The sequence below is a fragment of the Homo sapiens genome, chromosome 3 (assembly GCF_000001405.40).
Source record: "Homo sapiens chromosome 3, GRCh38.p14 Primary Assembly".
Classification (NCBI taxonomy): Eukaryota; Metazoa; Chordata; class Mammalia; order Primates; family Hominidae; genus Homo; species Homo sapiens.
This window is the reverse complement of record NC_000003.12, coordinates 149,009,152-149,034,276: the sequence shown is the minus strand read 5'-3', so window position 1 is coordinate 149,034,276 and position 25,125 is coordinate 149,009,152. Positions and strand designations below refer to the sequence as shown.

The window sequence follows — 25,125 nt, the reverse complement described above, 5'->3', positions numbered from 1 at the left end:
TTCACATAGATGCAAGTAATTCTTTGGGATAAGTTAAGAAAACTAGAATTCTGGATTTAGAATTTTTATCAACTATCGAGTTGGTTTCAAAATAGGATTTATATGAAAATTGTTAATTTATGCTTCTGTGGCCAAAAAAGTGCTGTTCTAATTTGCATTTACCTAAAACCTTGAGTATATTTCACATATCTTGTTTATTAACATTTTTTCTGTGAATTATTTATATCTTCTGTCCAGTTCTCATAGTTATGGTACAAATAGTTTTATAGTATAAAGGACTCCCTGATACAGTCTGACTTGAAATCTTTTGTTTATGTATGTTGAAAATGGTTTATCCCATACTCTTCCTTGTCTTTAAACTGCATTTTTTTGGTCATGAAAAAGCTTTAAAATTTTTATGATTTAAAACGTCAGCCTTTTTTATACGTTCTAGGTTTTAAGGTCTTACCTAGGACAGAAGGCTTTATTTTCACATTTTTTCAACTATTCTGTATTTACTTCTGGTTCTTTTGGAAGATTTTATTTTTTGTTTTATGATTTGTGACATGAGTCTAAGCTTATTATTTTATCAGATGAAGAACGATTTGTTCTGTCACATCATTTTTTTTCTTTGAAAATTCCAACTTTTTCCCTACTAGTATGAAATGTCACTTTCATCATAAACTAATTTATATATATTACTTGGGTCTTTTTCTAGACTATTCTGTTCCATTGATCTCTTTTCCTTTTCTTAGGGCAGTATTACTCTTATAACAACTATGGTTTCCTAAAGTAAGTTTTGATACCTGATAGGGTAAAATGTTCTGATGACCCTTTTTGAAAATTGTATTGGTGGTTATTATTATTGCTCTTGAATTGAACTTTAGATTTTAGTTATAAAATCCCATTTAAGATATCTTGAGATTTATTGAATTTATTATTACTTTCGAGAACTATCTTTCTTTATAAGTAACGAATGTTTCCATACAGGAACATAGTATCCTTTCTCCATTTATGTAGATCTTATATGTATTTCAGTAAAATTTTATTATATAGCTTTAGTTATTGCAGTAATTGGGTCTTCTTAAACAATGTTAAATAGTAGCAGATAGTGACCATTCTTGACTTGTTTCTGTTTTGTTGTAGAATACTTTTATTGTTTCACATTAAATATGTAAGGTTGAGACATTCATTCCTAGTTGGGGTATTTTAAAATCAAGTTTTTATCAGGAATGAGATGATCACGTTTTATTTTTCTCTTTGTTAGTGTTGTGAATTATACTAAAGATTCATTCTTGAATTTCTGGGAATAGTTTTTTGTTTTTTTTTTTTTTTTTTTTGAGACGTCGCTCTGTCACCCAGGCTGGAGTGCAGTGGCGCAATGTCGGCTTACTGCAAGCTCCGCCTCCCGGGTTCACACCATTCTCCTGCCTCAGCCTCCCGAGTAGCTGGGACTACAGGCGCCCACCACCATGCCCGGCTAACTTTTTCTATTTTTTAGTAGAGATGGCATTTCACCGTGTTAGCCAGGATGGTCTCGATCTCCTGACCTCATGATCTGCCCGCCTCGGCCTCCCAAAGTGCTGGGATTACAGGTGTGAGCCACCGTGCCCGGCCAGAATGGCCTTTTTAATACAATGCTGAAGTCATTTTGCCAGAGTTGCCTATATAGTTTGCTTTTTTTTTCTTTATTGCTTTGCTTATCTTGTGATCTGTAACTTCTATTCGTACAGCCATATTCTTTATATAAGAAAACCATATTGGGTAAGGAAAGCAAAGTTCAGTTCTATTAAATAGTTATTATAGTTTGGTGCAAAAGTAATTGCGGTTTTTGCCATTAGGCAAATCTTTCATTTAGTTTTTTTAATAAAGATTTTAAATACTATGCCTTAAAAACTACTTAACTTTTTTTTTTCTTTTTAAAGTTCATTGTAAAGGACTCTGTTGAAGAAAATATGCTGAAAATACAAAACAAAAAGAGAGAACTTGCAGCAGGAGCCTTTGGAACTAAAAAACCAAATGCTGACGAAATGAAACAAGCCAAAATTAATGAAATCAGAACATTAATTGACTTATAATTTGTGGGATTTTAGTAAGGTCAGTTTGATTGGATACTTAAGTTTTAGAAATGAGAAAAATACAGAGTTTTAGAAATGAGATCTAGAGAACACGTCTTCTAAAAGGGGCATATTTTATATTAGTGAAGAGGTATTACTGACACAATTTCTTCTATATATGAACCTATTTTTAATGAAACTTCAAATAGCAATAAGTTCCGTTATATACTGTGGCCTGAAATAATTTGAGAAAAAAGGTTACTTTGTTATTCAGCTTTTCATAATATCTATGCTGAGTATTTTCACGTATCTTCCAAGTACTCAGCTTTTTCGTATTTCAAATAAGGTCAGACCTTTTATACTTTTGACCAAATAGTTATTTTCTATGTTGGACACTTAGTTATTTACCAAAGCCTCCGATTTGTGATGCAGTGTTTGTAGTCCTTGTAAACAATATATACAGACTATACAAGAATTAATTTTATTGGGCTTTCAAAAACCATATTTGCATTCCAGAACCAAATCTTAAATGAGACCAAAGTCCAGGTTAGCACAGGTTTTTATTTTTCCTACAGCTACATTGAGATATAGTTCACATAAATGACTTGGAGTTTTATGTTCATGAAAAAATTAGGGATTATGTTAAGAGTACTATTTTTTCCATTTTAGTTAAGTAGTACTACACTCATTGTTTAAATGTAACTTGCTGTGTCTGAGGTATAAATATAGTCTGTGGGAGTGAGAGGCAAACCAGTCCTACCCAATTTGATTTGAATATTTTAAATTATGGAACTGCTAAATAGATATTTCTATAAATAGATAATTTTTATTTATGTAGCTTTTTTTGGAAGTAACTTTATAAATTTTTATAATTCAGAAGACTACTATATGTGAGAGGCGTGATATCTGGATGGAAGTTGGGCTGGATGATCTCCAAAGTCGTTTCAACTCTTAAAGACATCTTAATCCTGAATGTAAACAATTGTTATGTGTTTAGAATCAGAATTTGATTTTGAACTTGAGTAATTCATCCTTACAGCTATCTGTAGAATTAGTCATCTTTTTTCTTTTCTTTTTTTTTTACTTTTTTGTTAATAAGCAAACTTATTTGCTGCAGAATTTGGGTTGACTCCTGAGCATATTTAAAACAAAGAAGCTAGAAATTTAGCAGTCAGATTAGGTAGGTGGTTTTATTTCAAAGGGAAACTTTAATCCAAAGAAAGATTAATTACTCTAACAAACAAGAGAAGCTTCATGTTTGATGATACAGATTTAAGAATACCTGAGACTTAAGAGTGTTGGAAGTCATTTGATAGAAAGATGAGATCGGAGACAATGTTGTGTTATAGGGCACACATTGAAGGTATATGCCAAATCTCTCACCAGATAAGTCCTTTTCTCCCTGTGCCGTTTTCTTGCTCAAAGGGAACAGTGAATTAGCCAGCTAGAATCTTCCTGGTCCCTTTTTGAGGCAGTAGCAGGTAAGGAAAGGGCTGATTTTCATCAAAACCAAGACCTTTCTGCAGGGATGATAGTGGAATAATAATGTGGGATTAGCCCGCTAGCATTAGGAGCAGTTGGGAAGTTACCTGGTAGATCAAGCATTACACACAAAAAATCAAGTTGATCAGAGTATGGGTTCTCCATATAGCAATACTTCAGTGAGATTAAGTATAAACAGTTTTTGGCAAAAAACAACACAGTCTACTCTTTCTGCTTACAAAGACAAAGCCTTACAAACTCACTATGAAGGTAAAGGGAGGACAGCTTGCTTCTTTGCCCAGACATTTACAAAGTTGTTTTTAAAACACACTCATAAGTAAGTTTGGCAAGTTGTTTAAAAAATGTCTCTTTGTTTTGTACAGTTCTGTTAGATGTTGTTATATTTTAAAAGTTTAATTTAAAAAATTTAATTTGTCCTTCCTAAGAAGGATAAATATATAAAAAAGCCACTGGAATGAAAACTTCCTATATGCTATGCTGTTGTCTTATTATTATATAGAAAAATAACTTTAGAAAAATATTGAAGACATTGTATTACCACTTGTGATTCAAACAATTTTGTGGTTAAAACTGGATTTTAAATTTAAAAATCAATAAAAATTTCAAATGTTTATTACCTTCCTCGGTGCCATAATTTTGACTTTATCTTCAAATAAAATCCTTCATTAATTGTGACATTTCTATGCAAGTGTTACATTTTTTTGAGAGTACATGAAGATTACTGTAACAGAATAATGTCCTCATATCCTAACTAACTTTATTTTGCTCAATTTAGCTGGTTGAAATTCTTGTTCAGAAATCAAGAGTGCTTATTTAAAATGCCTTGATCTAAAAACATTGGTCCCAATTAATTTCTTCATCTGGAAGAAAAAAAGGAGTTGTGATAATACCTATATATACACAGATAGCACTCTTAATCAATCATTGTACATTTTGTCCTTAAAATTACAGCTCTAGAATTGGAAATACAAACTAACCCTATGTAGTTTGTTACCAGTGAGTACTAATGATCTTCGGCAGTGTGTGCTTTGTTTTGGGGAATGGCAAAGACATTGCTGTATTTTTTTCTTGTTTTATTTATACTACTTGTCAAGGTTTATGCATTAGCATTTGGATGAGATTCATTAAAAATATAAGGGCACATTTGATGTTTGGCTCTTAACAAAAACTCAAATGTTTAACCTCAAGTTTTTAACACATTAACTTCAAAATATCTGCAAAATGTGTTATACAGCAGGACAATATGGGTATAAGGAGAATTAAGGTAAACAAACATTTACTTTATGCATAAACCATAGCTCCATCCACCATGGAGCTAATCTCCAAAGGCATGGATTTGACCTCTGTTGTGGGCAAGTTTGTCTTACAACCAAAGGTCATACCAGCCACTGCAAGGGGATAAGTATATATGGATCACCTCTGCAAATATAAATCTTGTAATTTGAATTACTGTTGCCTTTTTATACATTTTACTAAGTAACCCTTAGTATTCTGGACTCCCTAGAAAAGATTTTCCAATATTTGTATAGCTTTACATGGAAAAGTTAGTTAATACTTCACCTTAAGACATAGATCATAGAAGGAAAAGAATGTTTAGTTCAGTGATTTTCTAGCCAAATAACTTGACAGCATTATATGCTATGTCTTATGGTAAGCTTGTCATTCTTTCTGATTCCAAAAGTTAATAATAGCCTTCACTACTTATTTGAAATTTAAAAATTTGCTGGGTGCAGTGGCTCACGCCTGTAATCCCAGCACTTTGGGAGGCCAAGGCCGGTGGATCACGAGGTCAAGAGATTGAGACCATCCTGGCAACATGGTGAAACCTGTCTCTACTAAAAATACAAAATTTAGCTGGGCGTGGTGGTGCGTGCCTGTAGTCCCAGCTACTCAGGAGGCTGAGGTAGGAGAATCTCTTGAATCCAGGAGGCAGAGGTTGCAGTGAGCCGAGACTGCACCACTGCACTCCAGCCTGGTGACTGACTGACAGAGCAAGACTCTGCCTCAAGAAAAAAAAAAAAAAAAAAAAAAATTTAAAACTATGTCAGCTTTTCCACCTTAGAGCTTTGTTATGCTACTGTGTAAAAAATAGAGAATGAACGGTAGTAAATAGAAAAAATTAACGTTGAATGCAACTGAATGGCCACAAAAATAAGACATTTTATATCTGAAGACTGTGTTTCTGTTCATCTTAACCAGGGACTCGGAAGCCAGAAAGACCTCTGACTAGCTAAAATTTTGAGAAGTCCTTCTTTGTACCACAGCATCTGACACATGGAGGCACTTAAATAAATCTTTGGTAAATGCTTCATTGTACTTGAAGATCAATAGCGACTCATTCTTCACCAGTCCAAATAGCTAGTTTCAGAAGTCATTTATCATTTAATATTTTATAATTCTAGGTAAATCCTCAGGTTCTTATTGAGCTCCTATGGTAACAGCCTTCAAGGTGGCCCCAACCATTCTTGACTTAAGCTGTCTATATGCTTGTATATTAATTCACATCAATATGAATAAGGAGGGTGACTTTGAAGGCTAAGTCACAAAAGCTTTGCAGCTTTTGCCCAATCAAACCTCTAAAGTTTCTTCCTGTCATGGTTAACTGTCCTGTTTTCTTCCATAGAATCATTTCTGACCACTCATTTTAGTTTTAAAAGGTCATCTTGGATCCTACCCTTCTTTAGCTTGCCATCTCTTACAACCTAGAATGATCTATAAATTTAATAAATACGCTTTTCCATTCTATCATTTTAAATCATAGATAAAATACTAGTAGGGACTGGACCCAGTATTGATTCTGACAGTTAGGAATGACTTTAAGGTTAAAATATTCTAAATAGCTAAATACCCACTTAATAGAGAGGTGCAGTGTGGATGACACTATGTAAGTTTGATCTCGGTTTGTTCTGATCTGTCAGATCCATCACCATCACAGAAAAACAATTAGATTGAAATCATAGATACCAGTTTTTAAAGCATATATCCCAATGTCAAGCTTTACACTTTTTTAAAACTATGACAAATTCCAAAAATTGTGAAAAATTCCCTAATAGATTTGTTCAAGGGTGTATGGTGAAATTCCTTAATTTAATTAAACAACCAAGATACAGCAATAAGTCTTTTATTTTTTGTACAGGGTGCCACTGCAGGTAACCATCAGAGAACACACTGCTATTTTCAAATATACAGAACTGAACAAAAGCATTTTAGCATGCTGCCTTACTGTACACAGAAAACTGGTGAGCATCTTCAGACACTAAGGACAGGAAATAAAATGGGTTAATGCTATTGGTTGATATGTTTATGAATCACTCAGCAGTGTTGAGATAGCCTATCTTTACCTGAAAGGAGAATTACACTCACTCACTCTGGCAGCACTGGGCAATTCTAAAATTCAGGTCTCGTGAAAGGTACACAACCAACAAGCAAGCAAGGAACAGATGCCATGTCTGCTTCTGAAGGGAGTGACTGATTTTGAACCAGGCTCTGCAGATTTTAAGAACTGATACAGCCATCTTAATATCTTGAGTTTCCCTTACTTTGTATGTTGGCAGTCAACAAAAGTGAGAATTTCTGAAACAAGCTAAATAGGATTAAAAAGCAGAACACTGTCCATATAACAGAATTGCTGCTTCACAACTTTTGCCCAGTTCTCACCTCTTATCCTAAAAAAGCCTCTCATCTGATAAGTTTTAATGAAAACCTCTAGCAACTGTAACAGACTTTTCTCAACCCAGCTCTAGATACTAAGTATCAGAAACAAGGCTTGTGAAGTGGATGTGTTCACAGAAAAATGCAGTGTTTCTACTGGAGGTAAGTGTCAAGTTTCCTCTTGATGTTGTCAAAGGAATCTGCTCCCATATAATCAGCCTGGCCCTGTTCCCATCGTTCCTTCCGTTCTTCCGAGGATACAAACGGCTGTGCCATAGCTGGGATCTCCCCAAGGGACAGATGTGATATGGCTCCTGAGACATCTTCCTAGAAAGGAAAGCATAATTGACTCTATGAGAGCTGAAAATCAAACTGTTTTAAAGAATGCAATAAATTGAAGACAGAAAAGCCAGGATGAATCATCATGCAAAGTAGCAAAAACTGAAAAGTATTACATGAAACAAACAAAAAAGACACAAAAATATAGATTATATGATTTTTTCCTAACAAAATGAAGACTTCTTGACTCAGTGAAAACATTGGGAGAACAAAGTAATTAGGGTTAATCTTTAAGTTCTGCATACCTTTCTACAGAAGCCACAAGAGAAAGCCAGTGTATAGACCAAGTCTGAAAGCTGCAAACAGTTCATTAGAAAGTGTAAGATGGATGGGCAAGGGAACACAAGTCTCAAGATAAATTCTCAATCTGTGTGGGCTCTGAAAGGTTGAGAACTTAAACAAAATGATACCCAACAGGCTACATTTCAGAAAGAATCTAACTAGAGAGCCGCAACACATACTCAGTTATCACATTATAAGAAGGAAAGTTAAACTGGTTTGAGACTAGGTACCAAACTTCTCTGCTTGTTCAAGCTTTCATTTGGATTACCAAGTAGCATCTGTTCTTGTAGCTTCTGTTAATTTGCTTAGTTTTGAACAACTTTCAATTCCCATCTTCACCTTTCCTTGGTTCATAATTACGTATATACGTAAGCATATAGGTATGTATTTAAATACAGTGGAACTTTAAGATGTTTGGGTATAGGACTGCATTATAGCTGAGGCAACATAAGGAAGTCCTTCCATTGGATTAGTCCTGCCTTTGCCTTGCACTTGGCAACAGTAATGATACAGAGGCATTTCCAGAGTCCTCTCTGTTCACAATATGGGGGCTGTGAATTTACACCCTAAAAGAGAGGCCCCTGAGGTCAAGCCAAGTATACTGGACATAACTTAAAATAGTTTAGCATTTAAAGTGTAACTCTCCCTTCACCTGCCATAAAAGGTACTTTCTTAATTCTGGGCTGTAGATGGCTACTTTTAAGCATAGTCCATCTCAAATTTTCATAAGGATAAGTCTCTTCAGACCTGCGTTTGAGGCCCATTCTGCTGCTTGACTAGTCTATTACATAACTAAGACAAGTTATATAACTTCTTTAAGCCTCAGTTAATTTACCTATAAAAGGAGATATAATACTTAATATACTTAACAATACTTACTAATAGTACTTAATATAGTGGTTTTAAGGGTTAAATAAGAATAGCTAACTTTCATTAAGCATTTACTATGTGCCAGGTGGTTTCAAGTACTGTATGACAGGGGTCCCCAACCCCCAGGCCACGGACCAGCAGTAGTCCATGGCCTGTTAGGAACCAGGCCGCACAGCACAAGGTGAGTGGCAGGCGAGTAAGAATTACCACCTGAGCTCTGCCTCTTGTCAGATCAGAGGTGGTTAGATTCTCATAGAAGCGTGAACTCTATTGTAAACTGTGCATGCAACGGATCTAGGTTGTGTGCTCCTTATGAAAATCTAATGCCTGATGATCTGAGGTGGAACAGTTTTATCCTGAAACCATCCCCCATACTGGTCCATGGAAAAACTGTCTTCCACAAAACCAGTGTCTAGTGCCAAAAAGGTTGGGGACCACTGCTGTACAAATATTATGTCATGATCCATATAAAGAACTCAGAGTAAGAATGCAAGTGTTAGTTTTTCTCCCTTTCTCCTTTCTATATCTTAGTAAATGCTAGTAAGTGAAATTTCAGGCTAAAATCTATACCACAGGAAAGAGAATAATCTCTTATAATATTACAATCTCACAGCCAGGTGATTAGCTGATTATCTGATTATAATTCACCACCATTCTGTTCTCTTATTTATATCTGAATATGTAACAGTTTCGTTCCTCATCCTCTTCCAATTCTTTCATAAGAACAAACCTCAGAGAAGACCTTTAAAGTCAGAAAAGATGCTAAAGAGGGTTGTTATAAATGTTAACATGTCATCTGCCTCCTACAAAGATATTTCTTTTTCAAGATCCTATAGTAATCATAGGAGTACAAACATAGGAAATAAAAACAATCCTATAGAAGTATTTACTGTATGTTCATATTGTCATTTTCACTGAAAACACATTCTTCTAAGCAGATGGCAAATATAAAGTAGATACATCTAAATGTTTGCAGTTCCTAAAACATTCAATGGGGTGTTGTTTTTATAGACCACTACTTTAGGAATAATCTCAAAATCTTTTCAGAGGAGAATGGGCTAAGAATTCTAAAGTTAAAATATATGGGTATATACAGAAAATTCTAAATAACTGTGTTCTCAGATCCAAAGAAATCTGCCACACAGTTTATTTCTGCTACTTCTTGCTGGTAATGTTTCTCCTAAGATGGTTATTGTTTTCTTTCCACAAAATTTTATTTATCTCTTTGTTTAAAATGCTGCTAAATATTCCACATCTCTATTGATACAACAATTTTTTTAAAAAGCAGCATTAAATGATCTGAAGAAAAGAAACAGAACCTACCACATTTACATATGAGCAGGTGTCTTTGACAAGGCCAAATTGTTGAAGCAGAGGTAAAACGTTGGTGGTAAAGATGTTCCACCACAGGATGAGAAACTCTGGATGAGTCATGTTGGGATCATGGGCCTCACTTTTGACACTTTTTGTTTTGGGATCATAAGTATAATTCCATGGTTTGACTCGTCCCAGGAAATGCACAACTTTGGCACTTGCACCAAACCTGCCAAGTGAACGCAAGTTGAAACAGTTAGTGGATTCTGAGTACTGACAAAAAGATAAGCAGCACTTAGTAGCACTTTTCTATAGCTTTCTTTCTTAAGAGACAGTGTCTCACTCTGTCACCCAGGCTGGAGTGCAGTAGCATGACAGTTCACTACAGCCTCTAACTTCCCACCCTTAGCCTCCTGAGTAGCACAGGCCACCATGCCTAGCTAATGTTTAATATTTTTTTGTAGAGCCAGGGTCTTGCTATGTTGTCCAGCCTGGTCTTGAACTCCCGGCCCTGAAGTGATTTCTCCTGCCTTGGCCTCCCTATTCTGTGGCTTTAACAGTGTACTTTCCATCCTGCAGTAAGGGTTCAAAATCAAACTGAGTTCACTGTGACATTGTGAGACAGATACTTTTAAAAGTACTTATTCAGTTGTGTGTTAAATACATACAAAAAATGTAAATGTAGCATCGGTTCAGTGCAACACTGAAGCACCAATCCATTGTGGACAGAACAGGCACACCACTTGGAAAGTATTTGGTATTACCTAGTAAAGTTAAAAATGCTCATGCTGTACAATCCAGCAGCTCAGCTCCTAAGCATATACCCTAAAGAAATGCTTGTGTATGTGCAACAAGAGATATAATCAAAATGTTCACAGCAGCACCAGCACTATTTGAAATAGTCAAAAACTGGAAACAACCCAAATGTCTGTATTAGATTTCTGCTCAGCAAGTATACATTACTCCCAGCCTCCTCAGGGGGAGGACACTTTCCCACCTGATGTTGGACATGTCCTATGGCTTGGCTTGACTTGACTAATGCAATATGAGCAGAAGTGACATTGTGCCTTACAGAAGCATTGCTTATTTCTGTTCACCCTCTGAGAAGTTACAACTTCTGCCAGCAGAATATGCCCTGGGTGCTTGCTGTTTCCAGAAAAAAGAAACATGGAACAGATCTGGACCAAACCTGTAGCCTAGCTCCAAACCCTGCTGAGATCATCAGAGCTGTCCTAGCCAACCCACCAACATATATGTAAGAAATATTTGCTTATTGTTGAATATGACTGAGATTTTATAGTTATATAGCCATCTTTTTTAAAGGAAAAGTTCTGCTATATTCACAGCATGGAATACAATCTAAAATGAATGAACTATAGCTATACACATCATGCAGCAAAAAGATGAATTTTTAAAACATTTCTGTTGAAAAAGGCAACGGGTCAAACAATTACATATATATGATTCCACTTACATAAAGTCAAAACAGGCCGGGTACGGTGGCTTACACCTGTCATCCCAGCACTTTGCGAGGCTGAGGCAGGCAAATCACGAGGTCAGGAGATGGAGACCATCCTGGCCAACATGGTGAAACCCTGTCTCTACTAATAATACAAAAATTAGCTGGGTATGGTGGCACGTGCCTGTAATCACAGCTACTCAGGAGGCTGAGGCAGGAGAATCCCTTGAACCCGGGAGTCGGAGGTTGCAGTGAGCCGAGATTGCGCCACTGCACTCCAGCCTGGTGACAGTGAGACTCCATCTCAAAAAAAAAAAAAAAAAAGGCAAAACAAGAAAAAAGGTACTGTTTAAAGATCAGAAAACTATAATCAATATAAATTTCATGATGCTGGTTACCTCTGGGGGAAAGGCGAAGCTATGATTGGGAAGGGACAAAAAGAGGTTCTAAGGCACTGGTTGTGTTCTATGTCTTAACTTGGGTGGTATTTTTAAACAATGCACATTTTAAAATATGTATTCTTTTGTACATATGCTCCATTTCACAATAAAGAATATCTTTAAAAAAGTAGGAGTAAAGCGTAGTCCTGTTCTAGCTGGCAGGAAATCTATGTATATAAAAACAAAAACCAAACGTGAATGTAACAAGTGTCAAAGCAAAAATAGGAACAGTGGGTGCTCAGGAATTCACAGCAGGAAGGGCACTATCCAGCTTCAATGGGAGCAGAGGTGCTAAGATAGTGGGATGTGACTTCAAGCTTATACAGCAGATGTGATCTGGGTAGCTGATGATAATGTAGGGAATTCCAGACAGGCAATGGCAGGTATCAGGTGAGCACCTGTGTGCTAGACCAGGTATCCTCTGTTAGAGCCAGAGAGGAGGCTTTGAGTAGGGAAAGAAAAGTAAAATGGGACAGAACCTCAGGTACTGGGCTCAAGTGTTAGATTTCAGTAGATTTATATTACAGGCAACCAAGATATTTGAGCATGATATACCGTTCAAAATAATACAAACTCGTGTAACCTTTCCTATCCCCTAAAGTTTATTAAAAAAAAAAAAAGTTAGGAACTGGTTAAAAAGCTATCATCAGAGTTTACTATATTTGGAGACCAAATTCTTTAAGGACATGATGGGGAATAATAATATTTCTACAAGGTAAATTTTACTAATGTGATAATTGAGGCTGTGAGAGACTGAAGTGAGATGCCCAAGGTCACACAACTAAGTGGCAGAGATGGGGTTTGACATGGTTTTACCTCTAAGGCATGAGCACTTACCATCCTACCATGCTGCTGCTGCTCCAAAAAGCATGCAAGAAAAATACAGCCTATTTGTAAAGCTCTTTCCTCTTAAGGTTAATTGATCATTCCACGGTTTGTTTCTTCTGATAAATGAAGAGGATATTTGATATCCCCAAGCTTACTCTTTATTTTATACACGTAAGTATATGTAACACACACAACACTCTTGCTCTATTTAATCCTTAAAAGGATAAAAATCATAATGCCCAAATTTGTGCACAGATAAAGCTATCGATTAAATAACAACTATTATGCATATGGCACTATGCTCAGTGTGTGGCCCCAAAAGGCTTTTGTTCAAACAGTAAGATGGGTCATCTGCATAAAAATAAGCAAGGTGACAAGTTGGGGCTATCAGGGCAGTACTGACATTAAGGGCTACTGAAATTCCAAAGTAATGAATGCAGGTGGGATTTTCAGAGGTGGTTTTGTGCAGGAAGTGGGGGCAGGGACAATGCATGGGAAAGAGTCAGATGACTGCCTTCAACAAATGTTCTAATGAGGATGGGGGAACCCACCACAGAGATCTGACACCTGTGTTGCAGAGTGGAGGGAAGGCACTGCCCCATCCTAGCAATACAAACCCATAAGCCTAAAACCGAAACAGAGTACATAAGAATGAGATATTCCTTCCACCTCCTCGGACGCCCACCCCTCCTGACTCAACTTCCCGGCCTGGAGCCACAGCACCTACTTAGATCCTCTTGTATTAAACTGTTTGATCCTCTTGTTTTAACTGCTAAGCTTCCGCCCATGATTTGCCTAGACTTAATATAAATGTCATACATAGTCATAACATGATAGTAATACTAATTAAAATAAGTTAAAACATGAATATAGTGTAAACTATTCTTTTCTAACCTGCTCTCTTGACAGTTTACTAATGACTAAGCAGTAGTAATAATAAGAGCTCATAATAAGAATATAAAGTATTCATATGTCGCAGGCATTGGTTAGTGTTTGCTTGGTTTACTCAGTTAATCTCCAAAATGACAATGTGAGGAAACCAAGGCATGAAGAAGTTAAATAACTTCTCCAGGATCCCATGGCTGGTGAGTGACAAGGCTGGGATTCCATCCAGGCAGTCTGGCTGCAGAGCCAAGGCTCTTAGCCATGACTAGGCTGCTATTGTAAGACATTCCCAGAATTATAAGGGTATTGTCTGAGAGTGACGTTTGTTAATTTATGGATTAACTCCTGCCTATGGACAATTAATTTGAAAGTGAAAAAGGTATGCCTAAGAATCCTGGCAATCCCCCAAGTATAGTTAAGGTCCCAGCAACAGAAAGTAACCAATAGGAAAGCATATTATGAAGTAAGCAACTTAGCATTCAAGAAGACTGAAGAAAGACTTTTCAGAAGGATGCAGTTTGCAACAGAGGTTAAGGAAAAAATGGAATAACAACAAGAAATGGGTGGTGCTTAAGATCAGCAGGTGACCCACAAGTAGACTGTGCTGGACATTGTCTAAGGGCCTCCCCAGCTCCTGTCTCTGGATTTGGGTGTCAGAGCTCATGCAGAGGAAGGGCACAATGGTCCAATCCACCTGCACACAGACTGCCCTCTGCTGCAGGCAAGAATATACACCTGAGCCTCTGGCTCTGTCCGTATCCCAGCATGGCTCTGGACCGCCACACGACTGGTTCAAGAGGATTCTGCAGCCCTCCTGGATACCAGCTCCATGCCGGTTAAATACCTCTCCATATGGCCTGTGGCCTTCCTCTTGAATGTCAACAAGAACACCATTTGGAAACAATCCACACCCTGCATTTCACTGTGACTCAGGCACTGATCTCTACCTTCATGAATCCCTGAGTATCTCTTTAATTCTAAATCTGTTACTCCCTGTAGTCAGGGGAAGGATCCTCCTTCCTCAAATTACCTTCTTTACCTATTCTACCCTAACAAAGTGAAAAAACTGTATCCACTGGATAGTCCTTTCATAGACAGGGCAGTTTTCATTTTAAGAAATCCCTTGGTAAGGCTGTTTAAAGTAGAAACTGGGATCTTAAGGGGTCCTAAATGTGGGTGAGACTGCTTTTTCTGCCCTAAGGCAAGAAATCCCTTGGGTGCCAGCAAGACAGGGGGTGAGTGGGGAGAGATGGGAGAGGTGAGCAGGACTGTGGAGGGCAGTACTGCACAGTGATGTAGCCTCCCAACAGCTACCCACATTGCAATGAAACAAATCACAAAGTGTTAGGATGTAAGTAGGTTTCTTTACAAATTAGTTGGGGCCAGTTTACTGAGTGGCAAACTTGAAACAGACTCAGAAGTGTGAAGGCACAGAGAAGCATGAGCGAGGAGGTAAGAAAGATTCTGGGGCATACAGAAATCACGCAAAGGATTCAGATATCATAGGTATGCTCAGCCCTGTTTCTGTCCAGTAAGGAATGGAAATGCTTTTAGATGCATTAGGTATTGACATTACTTTCTCTTTTTTTTTTTTTTTTTTTAAGACAGTGTCTCACTCTCTCACTCAGGCTGGAGTCTAGTGGTACAATCTCAGCTCACTGCACTTCAACCTCTGAAGTGCAAGCAATTCTCCCACCTCAGCCTCCCAAGTAGCTGGGACTACAGGCACAGGCCACTATGACTGGCTAGTTTTCGTATTTTTATTTTATTTTTATTTTTTGTAGAGACGAGGTTTCACCATGTTGCCCAGGCTATTCAAGCGATCCACCTGCCTCTGCCTCCCAAAGTGCTGGGATTACAGGTGTGGGCCTGACATTACGGGCCCGGCCTGACACTACTTTAATCAAACTGTTACACACCTACTATCTATGGAAATGGATAGTGGTAGTGAATGGTCAGAGGTTTTAGAGGACCAGCTTTTTATGAGAAGAGCAGGCCTGGATAAGTCACTGAACACGGAAGGTTTAGACCAGCCCAAGAGCCCTTTGGGGGTGGGAAGAGGGCAGAAAAGTGAGAAATAAGGCAGCTGTTAAGTGGGGGAAAAATGGGGCTTGGATAGGAGGGTGAGAGAGAAGTGAAGCCAGATTTTGCAACTTTGTGTAAGGCAGTCATATCACAAGAATGTTCCTAGAACTCATCTAGGGCAGCACTTGGCTTGATATGAGGGATCTCTGCCTGGACCGAACAATGGCCACCTTATATGAAGGTTCAGGAGTCCTTTTAACTCCCATTATGCTCTAACTGTACAACTAAACAGTTATTTACACAGCAAAGGAACCTGAAGGGCTTGCTCTATAAGCTTTCATAAGACACATCATACACAAAAAGAATGAGCAACAGGTCTTGAACACTAGTCTGTTTTCATATCTAGAGTTTCAATCTAGATATTAATTTCAAGTAATTATTTTTATGTCTCAATTACGTTCTCTGAGAAATGTCTTTAAAAGATCATTTTCTATCATAATCAATTTACCCTTTAGTCATTTATGAAAATCGAGAATTACCATACCAAAATGAAGTAAGGGCAAACGTCATAAGTAAAAGGAGAAACTACTTCTTAAGTTAACCTAAATGCAAATTTAGGGGAACACTTAAAAGGCTAACCCAGAATATTTTTCTAGTGTTTTCTCTCTCCCACCAAATGCAACCAGCAGTTATTAGTCAGAATTTACATTGCATGGCTAAAAACAAAATAGAGGCTGGGCGTGGTGGCTCACACCTGTAATCCTAGCACTTTGGGAGGCCGAGGCGGGAGAATTGCCTGAGTTCAGGAGTGCGAGACCAGCGTGGGCAACACAGTGAAACCCTGTCTCTACTAAAATACAAAAAAAAAAAAAAACTAGCTGGGCATGGCGGTGTGTGCCTGTAGTCCCAGCTACTTGGGAGGCTGATGCAGGAGAATTACTTGAACCGAACCTGGGAGGAGGCGGAGGTTGCAGTGAGCCAAGATCACACCACTGCACTCCAGCATGGGTGACAGAGCGAGACTGTGTCTCCAAAAAAAAAAAAAAAAAAAAAAAAAAAAAACCTAAATAAAAGAAATAAATAAATAAAAGCAAAATACTTCACCAATGAATAAGAAGGGGAAATGTTGATGTCAGAAGATAGCGTTGAACTGACCTCAACCCAGAGTAAGGATAACCATAAGATTCACTGACTCACTCCCTGACTTACCACTAAACTACTAGCCAGGAATTAAAAAAAAAAAAAGGTTGAGTACATGTCACAATTGTCTCTACATTACTGAGAGCCATTCATTCTGACCCAGTAATGGGGATTTGTCTCAGCTTGCATACATCTCTTAAAATAAATGTTCTAATTTTAACTTGATAGAATCTCAAAAGGGTCGTCCAGATCACAAGACATAGTTTGAACACAAGCCAGCAATAATACTGCTTATGTGAGCCGTTAAAATTATCCCTGTGACCTGATGTTACCAAAAGATCAGATAGAATTTTCATGACTAGTTTAGTAGTTGAGAAACAGCCAGTAACATGTGGATGAGACTACAGAACTGTTTAGAACAGAAAAGGAACTGGTTTATGACAGCACACACAGGAGCAATTTTAGTCCTCACTAAGCTCTTTACGTGCATTGTTCAGTCAGATACCGAGAAAGACGGCACTGCTTGTGCGACACTTCTCTGGGAATCATGGCAGCAATGTCAAGCATCCTCTTGCCCACTTCTGTGGCTCATGTTCTCTATTATATTGCGACTCACTCATGCACCTTCTCAGACTCACTTGCCCACATGGGCAGAGCCACACACAAGCCCTTCTCCCACAACCAACTGCACACCTCTCCTCTCTCACGCACTCACAATCTAAGTTAGGAGTCACAAACCCAAGTAACCAAGGAGTGGGCCTGATCATGGAGAGGAGGAATGGACTTGCTGAGGTGGGGCCTGAGGAACACAAAGGGTGCATATCCCATCACTAGAAGATAGCTGCTACCCCCAGCAAACAACTGACCAGACACCCACCCAATTTCTTTGCCTTGCAAACTAATCCTCCCAATAATACCCTGGAAATCAGAACAATGTCAGCACTCGAACCCAGACTTTAATAACCTACACTAGGACCTAGTCAACAACATTATCTTCTAGGCTGGCCTCTCTTCACAGACCAGGTCAGGGAAGGACTTACAACACCAGGCCACTAGGGAGACTCTCCTGGAGGCAGCATGTCATTCTTAGCCTCTATTGGCTGATTGCTCATTCATTCATTCAGCCAAAACATAACACCTGCCTACAAGCATCTGTGCCCATACACTTTGCCTTCCTTCATGTTACCAAGGATAAACTGTCCTGGCTCTTTTTTTTTTTTCTTTTTTGTTTTTTTTTTTTTTTTGAGACGGAGTCTTGCTCTGTCACCCAGGCTGGAGAGCAGTGGCACGATCTCGGCTCACTGCAAGCTCCACCTCCTGGGTTCACGCCATTCTCCTGCCTCAGCCTCCTGAGTAGCTGGGACAACAGGCGCCCGCCACCACACCCAGCTAATTTTTTTGTATTTTTAGTAGAGACGGGGTTTCACTGTTAGCCAGGACGGTCTCGATCTCCTGACCTCGTGATCTGCCTGCCGCGGCCTCTCAAAGTGCTGGGATTACAGGCGTGAGCCACTGCGCCCGGCCTGTCCTGGCTCTTATCTGAAGCCAGTCTCTCCACTTGTGTTCTAGGTGCCATCCCCTTTCACCTATCCAAGGACATCACTCCAGCATCTCCCCACAGTTTTCTGCATTGTCCCCACCCCCAACATCATTCCTATCAATACAAAAACATGCTGTGGTGACATCTATCTTTACACAACAATCACCACCGCCCTCTCTCGAACCTACATTCCCATCCAGCTGCCACCCCATTAGAGCAGATGCCTCAGAAGAGCTGTCTACATTCACTGCCTCCAATTCTCCTCCTTCAGTCTCCTGGACCCACTTGTCAGGCTTTCTCCCCCACCACTCCACCAGACGTCCTCTTGCCAAAGTCACCAGGAACCTCCACATTCCACATCCAGTGCCAATTCTCAGTTGTCTTGTATCTGACCTCATATCTGTGAGCATCTGACACAGACACAGATCACTCCTTCCTCCTTGAAACATTTTCCTTGCTCGGCTTCTGCAATACCACACTTCCCTGAGTTCCCACTTGCCTTGCTGTCTCTTGTTCCTATTCTTCTATTCTCTTGTCCCTATTATCTTCCTGCCATTGGGTCAATCCTCAGGACTCTTCTACTGATAATCACTCCCTTGGCTACATCATCTTGTCTCGTGACTATAAGTATCATTTATATGCTGACAACTCTCATATGTTCCAGACTTCTCTCTGGAGCTCCTGACTTTTATCTCTACTTAGCTATTTCATACTTTCACTAGGATGCTAATATGCACCTCAGACTTCATACATCTAAAACCTAATACATTCCGTTCATTTCTGACCAATCCCTACCCCTACGAACTTGCTTCCCCCATGTTCTTTCCTATTTCAGGAAATGGCAACTCTATCATTCCAGTCACTTAGACCACAAACCTGTAACAGTCACATTTGACATATCCTACCAAATACCTGATTTTTCCAAAGAAATTGGAAACCTGGGTTTTATGTGAAATTCCCTAATTTTTAAAGCATTGACAATTAAGTTAAAAAAAATTCTGTGTAGCACAAACAAAACATACTTGTGTGATAAATACAGTCTGGGGCCCACAGATTTGAGACTTCTGAGGAAGTTATGCCTTTTTTTTTTTTTTTTTGAGACAGAGTCTTGCTCTGTCACCCAGGCTGGAGTGCAGTGGTGCAATCTCAGCTCACTCCAACCTCTGCCTCCCTGGTTCAAGCCATTCTTCTGCCTCAGCCTTCTGAGTAGCTGGGATTACAGGCATGCACCACTACGCCCAGCTAATTTTTATGTATTTATATATATGTATTTTTTTTTTTAGTAGTGTCAGGGTTTCAGCATGTTGGCCAGGCTGGTCTCAAACTCCTGGGCTCAAGAGATCCTCCCTCCTTGGCCTCCCAAAGAAGTTATGTCTTCTTGGGCTCAAGAGATCCACCCTCCTTGGCCTCCCAAAGAAGTTATGTCTTCTTGGGCTCAAGAGATCCACCCTCCTTGGCCTCCCAAAGAAGTTATGTCTTCTTCCACTCAATCCTCATGCCTTTAACCTCCCATGAGCTCCCTCTTCGACCGAGATGGCATTCCTCCCCCAGACTTCTGCCCATGCGATCTCACTCCTTGTGCCCTTTTTGCTATTGTCAGAGCAGCATCTAAAGGCTGGGTTGGGTCCGATATGGAAGCTTTTCTCTTGGTGATAAAGACTTAGGTAAGGCACCAGAATATGCAGCAGTGAGATCTGAGGACAGATCATCTGATAGAGATAAACACTTCGGATGAGGTCAGAATGACCAGATAGCCACTCTGTGAAATGGGGCCCCAAGAGGCATCACTATCACCGAGAAAGAGGGAACAAGACATCTGTGCAACCACTGCTTGATTCTTCTTCTTAACACTCAAACCATGACAGACTGTGCCATGTGCCATACAAGAAACTGTACACCTAAGCAGTGGCTAAGTGGATTAGACTCCAAGCTCCCTTATTCATCTCTGAGGCCTTGAGTGAGCAGAAAGTGTGGCACAAGGTACACGCTCCAGGTTTGCCAACTGAATGAACGATCAGCAGGCCAACAAATGGCTGGAAAAAAAGAGTGACCCAAACTCTTTCTGAGTCAGCCTCAGGGTTGAGTGAATATGTATGAGTGTGAAAAGAAATGAAAATAGACTACGGCTTCCAATAACAATAGTTACGTGGAGAGTTGGAGCCAAGGAGGTGTCTCAGGGAGCGAAGAAAAATAACCAAATCAGAACTACACAGGGACGATAGAATTCACAACACTGAAGGTTTAATTTCTTTGGGGAAAATACTGATAAATAGGTTTGATAAGGTCTTAGTGAATGAGTCTGATTCTTAAAAAAGAAAGAAATATTAATATCCTCAGAACTGTTTAAAAGAGTAGAATAAATGAAAAAATATTTAATTTTACTAGGCCAGGTCTCTAGTCATATCTAAACTCAAGTAAAGGGTAAAACAAAATATTTATATGGAAAGTATTGGGTGAATGAGGCTTTGTACTCAATTTGACCAATTAATTTATGTAGTGGTTTGAAGAAATACCAGAGAATTCTGTCTCTCTGCTTTAAGGTGTGTTTTATATAGCATGAGATTCCTAGAGAGCGTTTAGTCAGTGGATATAATAGAAAGCAAAAATGAAACTAAACGATTTTTAAAAGACTAATAAGATTTTTTTTGCAGTGCTATGCACAAACCATACTATATGCTATCTGGATGAAACAAAACCTTCAGTTAGAGAAAACTTAAAAAAACGTATTTATTAAAAGCCTAAGAAACCTAACTATATATCCCAAACATTATGCTAAGCACTTTCAAAAATATTATTAATAAATGCATTTATGGGCTGGGCACAGTGGCTCACGCCTGTAATCCCAGCACTTTGGGAGGCTGAAGTGGGAGGATCACTTGAACCTAGGAGTAAGACCAGTCTGGGCAACATGGCAAAACCGTGTCTCTATAAAACACACACACACACACACACACACACACACACACAAATTAACTGAGCATAGTGGCACATGCCTGTAGTCCCAGCTACTCATCAGGAGGCTGAGGCAGGAGGATCACTTGAGCCTCAGGAGGTCGAGGCTATAGTGAGTCGTGATTCTACCACTGCACTCTAGCCTAGGCAACAGAGCAAGATTCCGTCTCAAAAAAATAAAATGCATTTATGACTTGTTTTCTGATGCAATACTACAAACTAACTTAAAAATTACTAAACCAAGCATTTTAATTTTCAAATTATGCCGTGTTAAAGAGGATCTTCCCTTACAAAAAAAAAATACTAATTCTGTTTTTTTATATTTGAGTAGTCATTCGAAGTGATAAAACTATTAGTTTGTTTCCTTTATCTTTTGTTCTAACCAAATGATACAGAGAGAAAGGCACTAGATGTGCTATTTTGTGGCTTAAATTCATACTAAGTTTGCTTTATACCAGGGCATCCTTTAGCTGAAGCTTCATGTAAGACCAAAGGCCACAAAGTTCTAGATATCCAAAACTCTAAGATTCTGGGGTGTCTAAATACTGCTTTGGGGACATCCTAGTGCATGGTTATTTGGAGTTGGCAAGACAAACACTCCATTCTTCCTTCCATGAAGCCGAAGTTGCTCCAGACCACTCCATGGTCTCTAATTCCACCTGCCACCACCCATGCTGTCCTAGGGAAGGCCAGCATACTATAGGGCTACTTAGTCCTGGAGACCACCAAGGTTATTCTGAACCCAAGAGTGGGCCTTCAAATTCACAGGGATCTTTGGAGAGTAGCAATGATGACCGAAATGCTTGTAATGGGTTACTTTCATTTAAAAAACATTTGGACTACAATTTTATATTACCTTATAATAAAAAAGAAATGTAACTACCTGTACCTTTTCAGCCTTTCCCAAATATAAAAGAATATAAGGAAAAATGTCTCTGGATGGGTCTCCACAAGAAAAGCAAATATATTTTCTGGCAGAGGGAAGGGAAAATGAGTTCTGTGATCTGGTTTCAATATTCCTCAATAGGCAGCAATGGGCAAGACAAAGCATGGCTCTGAGCAGCCTTATCACAGAAACGTAGAGCTGACCCCCACAAGCTGCACTGAAGCAGCAGCATCTCCAGCCGGCCCTGGGCCAGCTGAAATCCGGCTAATGGACGGAGTTGTTCCCAACTTTCCCAGTGTGTCATATTCTCTATGGTTACAATAAACCCGGGGGATTTCCAAAATTAGCACTCATTCATTGAGCCAGGAAGAAGAAAACCATCCTGTTTCAGTAATTTAGATCTCTAACTGGTTTTTTGGGGGCAATTCATTTGGAGGATATAAAATCAACTGGGTTCTTGAGAGAAAGGGCCAAGGTTCTAGCAAATTAAGTCTGTCTTACCCCTCAAAACTTAACTCTGCTCCACCTGCTTCTTGTGTGTTAAAATAAAAGTACTGCAAGCAGTGTCTGCATAAACCAGGCTATCCCCGAAAGGTACAACGTGCTCAATGGTGCTAAGGTGGAAATCAGATGGAGTCAAACAGAACCACATGCTCACTGTGCAGGACTGAGTGGAATGGTCATACTATTCAAAAGTCTTTCTCCTCTGCACTGTCAACTTTTTGCTTGCTAAACTGAATTCAGTCAATTAAACTATAAGCAAATGTCCTATTATAGACAAATTCGGCTCTAGGGGTCACACTGTCATGGTTTGCAAGAACACTATTCAGACTAGCAGGGTTATAAGTAAGGATTAAAATGGATCAGGTTCACATTTCCATGTGAGACACGTTTGTATTTTACAAGGCCAAGGACTGAGAGGTGAAAATAATGCTTCTCCTATTCCTCCCTTGACAGTGAATCCTGTTGTCTGCTTTACTCAGAACACAGTTGGTGTGTTTAAGAGTCTGCTTGTTCCCATTGTACAAAGGGAAGAGAATGTAATATGTTGGAGACATATACCAAGGGAACAGTTAGGGAGGAAAGAACATGAGATGCTTCTAATCCTTATCTGGAGGATGTTGATAGAGTCTTCCCAGAAAAGAACAGAAAAGGAAACATTGCTGCTACAAAAAGCCAGACATGCTTATTACCGTGGTGTAAGACTTACGGAGAGGACTTTGGATAATGAAATATGAGGAGTGAAAGGCCCTTTGTTTTCCGCTAACTCAGGAATGTCCATATGGGACAGAGATTGGCCCAACTCAGTGAAGGGCTGTGCTGCTCACAACTGTCTCAGGATCGACCTGACAGCTAGTCCCCTGTTCAAGAAATCTAAATCATCTTCTTAGTTAAACACAAATGAGTCAGAGGCTAAATAATAGGATCCTGTCCCTAACAGTGAGATAAACAGTGCAGCAAGGCTGTATTAGTTGTAAGGTGTATCAGAACTGCACCAGGGGCCGGGAGCAGTGGCTCATGCCTGTAATCCTAGCACTTTGGGAAGGCAAGGTGGGCAGATCACCTGAGGTCAGGAGTTCAAGGCCAGCCTGGACAATGCGGTGAAACCCCATCTCCACTAAAAATACAAAAATTAGCCGTGTGTAGTGGCACGTGCCTGTAATCCCAGCTACTAGGGAGGCTGAGGCAGGAGAATCACTTGAACCAGGAGGTGGAGGTTGCAGTGAGCCAAGATCATGCCACTGCACTCCAGCCTGGGCAACAAAGTGAGACTTCGTCTCAAAAAAAAAAAAAAAAAAGAACTGCACCAGGGACTGTGCGTGCTAAACAAGCACGTTACCAAAAACAACAAATGTCCACTGAGCACTTTATATGTATTAATTTGTTTCATCCTCCTGACAACCCTATGAGGTAGGTACTATTTTCCTCCTCGTTTTACATATGGAGGAGCTGAGGCACCAAGTCTTAAGTCATGTAGCAGATAAATGACAGAGTGAGGACATATGCCCTGCCTTTCTGGTTTACGAATTACTCTGAACACTATATTGCTTCTCTCAAATAAAAATGACTAACAATCTAACGTGTACTGAGCAGTTGGGTAGACCAGGCCCTCTTCTAACCATGCTACATGATTACCTCCCTTACTACCCACAATAACCCTATGAAGACATGGAGGCAGAAAGAAGTTCAGTAAGTAGGCCAGGAAGTGGTCACTGCAGGATGTGAAGTGAGGTCATCCAGCTCCAGAGCCCTTATTCTTAGCCACAGCAGCACACTGCTGCCTGCATCTGGCTTAATCCCCACAACAATTATGAGGGAGCTTTTAACACCTTTTTGCAGGTGAAGGAAACCAAAGCTCAGCAGCCAGTATGGGGAAGACATTGAGTTAGGGCACAAACTCAGCTCCTCCAAGTTGTAAGTCTGCAGAGCTTAAGAGTCTGTGTTTTTGACCATGACATATTAATAACTTACCAGAGGGCCATGAACCCCAGAAACTGATGGGAACCTTGTCCCAAAGGCAACTAAGGACCCTAGGGTCAAGCATGAGGCAACCGATAACATCAAGGCCTCTCCCCATTGCAGCCACGGTTCTTACAAGAGAAACTTTCCTCAAAGTGTCTATCTGTTATTTCCCTCGGAATGACAATGAAGCAGCCCCAAAATTGTACACCCCAATTCTCTGCCCTCAACATCTCCAACAATAGTTAAACCATCTGCACTTACACTTTAAATGCCGGGAGGTAGGAGTATATAGAGATGCTGCTTAGGTTATAAATAAACGGCAGGTGTTTTCTGATATCTGTTGTTGCCCAGCTGCTAAAAAATGTGTTCAGTATGCCTTGGTCCCCACCTAAAAGAAAAAAATATATAAATTAGTTAACAGATCTCTAGACAGTTTAATAATTTTATAGGAGCACATAACTGGACCTTTAAAAATAGACACTAATTCCATTTTTTTTTTTTTTTTGAGACGG

The 25,125-nt window shown here is 39.4% G+C and overlaps 2 protein-coding genes across 14 annotated transcripts in view, besides 3 other annotated features; one reads left to right on the top strand and one right to left on the bottom strand.

The window, feature by feature from the left end:
• The window catches only part of HLTF (helicase like transcription factor), a 56,471-nt gene extending 52,257 nt beyond the window's left edge, over positions 1–4,214 (top strand). For 4 of the 9 annotated variants that reach the window (XM_017007079.3, XM_017007078.2, NM_139048.3 and 1 more), the window contains exons 25-26: positions 1,905–2,076; positions 2,914–4,150. In XM_017007079.3, the coding sequence (XP_016862568.1) occupies positions 1,905–2,057 (153 nt within the window). In that variant the 3' untranslated portion in view covers positions 2,058–2,076; positions 2,914–4,150. Of the gene's footprint in view, positions 1–1,904 lie in introns of all 9 variants that reach the window. The other 5 variants (NM_001318934.2, XM_011513093.3, NM_003071.4 and 2 more) reach the window with 2 other exon arrangements.
• Positions 2,502–25,125, bottom strand: part of GYG1 (glycogenin 1) — a 40,236-nt gene continuing 17,612 nt past the window's right edge. For 3 of the 5 annotated variants that reach the window (NM_001184720.2, XM_017006275.2, XM_017006276.2), the window contains 3 exons: positions 24,875–25,001; positions 10,005–10,224; positions 2,502–7,517 (listed from right to left, as the gene is read on the bottom strand). In NM_001184720.2, the coding sequence (NP_001171649.1) occupies positions 7,344–7,517; positions 10,005–10,224; positions 24,875–25,001 (521 nt within the window). In that variant the 3' untranslated portion in view covers positions 2,502–7,343. Of the gene's footprint in view, positions 7,518–7,774; positions 7,826–10,004; positions 10,225–24,874; positions 25,002–25,125 lie in introns of all 5 variants that reach the window. The other 2 variants (NM_004130.4, NM_001184721.2) reach the window with 2 other exon arrangements.
• Positions 12,830–13,480: an enhancer, noted in NCBI's record as "OCT4-NANOG hESC enhancer chr3:148738584-148739234 (GRCh37/hg19 assembly coordinates)". NCBI's record gives its function as "activates a minimal SCP1, AML or CMV promoter by ChIP-STARR-seq in naive H9 embryonic stem cells {active_cell/tissue: H9 hESC(naive)}" and the evidence as "EXISTENCE:reporter gene assay evidence [ECO:0000049][PMID:30033119]".
• Positions 17,724–18,351: an enhancer, noted in NCBI's record as "H3K27ac-H3K4me1 hESC enhancer chr3:148733713-148734340 (GRCh37/hg19 assembly coordinates)". NCBI's record gives its function as "activates a minimal SCP1, AML or CMV promoter by ChIP-STARR-seq in primed H9 embryonic stem cells {active_cell/tissue: H9 hESC(primed)}" and the evidence as "EXISTENCE:reporter gene assay evidence [ECO:0000049][PMID:30033119]".
• Positions 18,352–18,981: an enhancer, noted in NCBI's record as "H3K27ac-H3K4me1 hESC enhancer chr3:148733083-148733712 (GRCh37/hg19 assembly coordinates)". NCBI's record gives its function as "activates a minimal SCP1, AML or CMV promoter by ChIP-STARR-seq in primed H9 embryonic stem cells {active_cell/tissue: H9 hESC(primed)}" and the evidence as "EXISTENCE:reporter gene assay evidence [ECO:0000049][PMID:30033119]".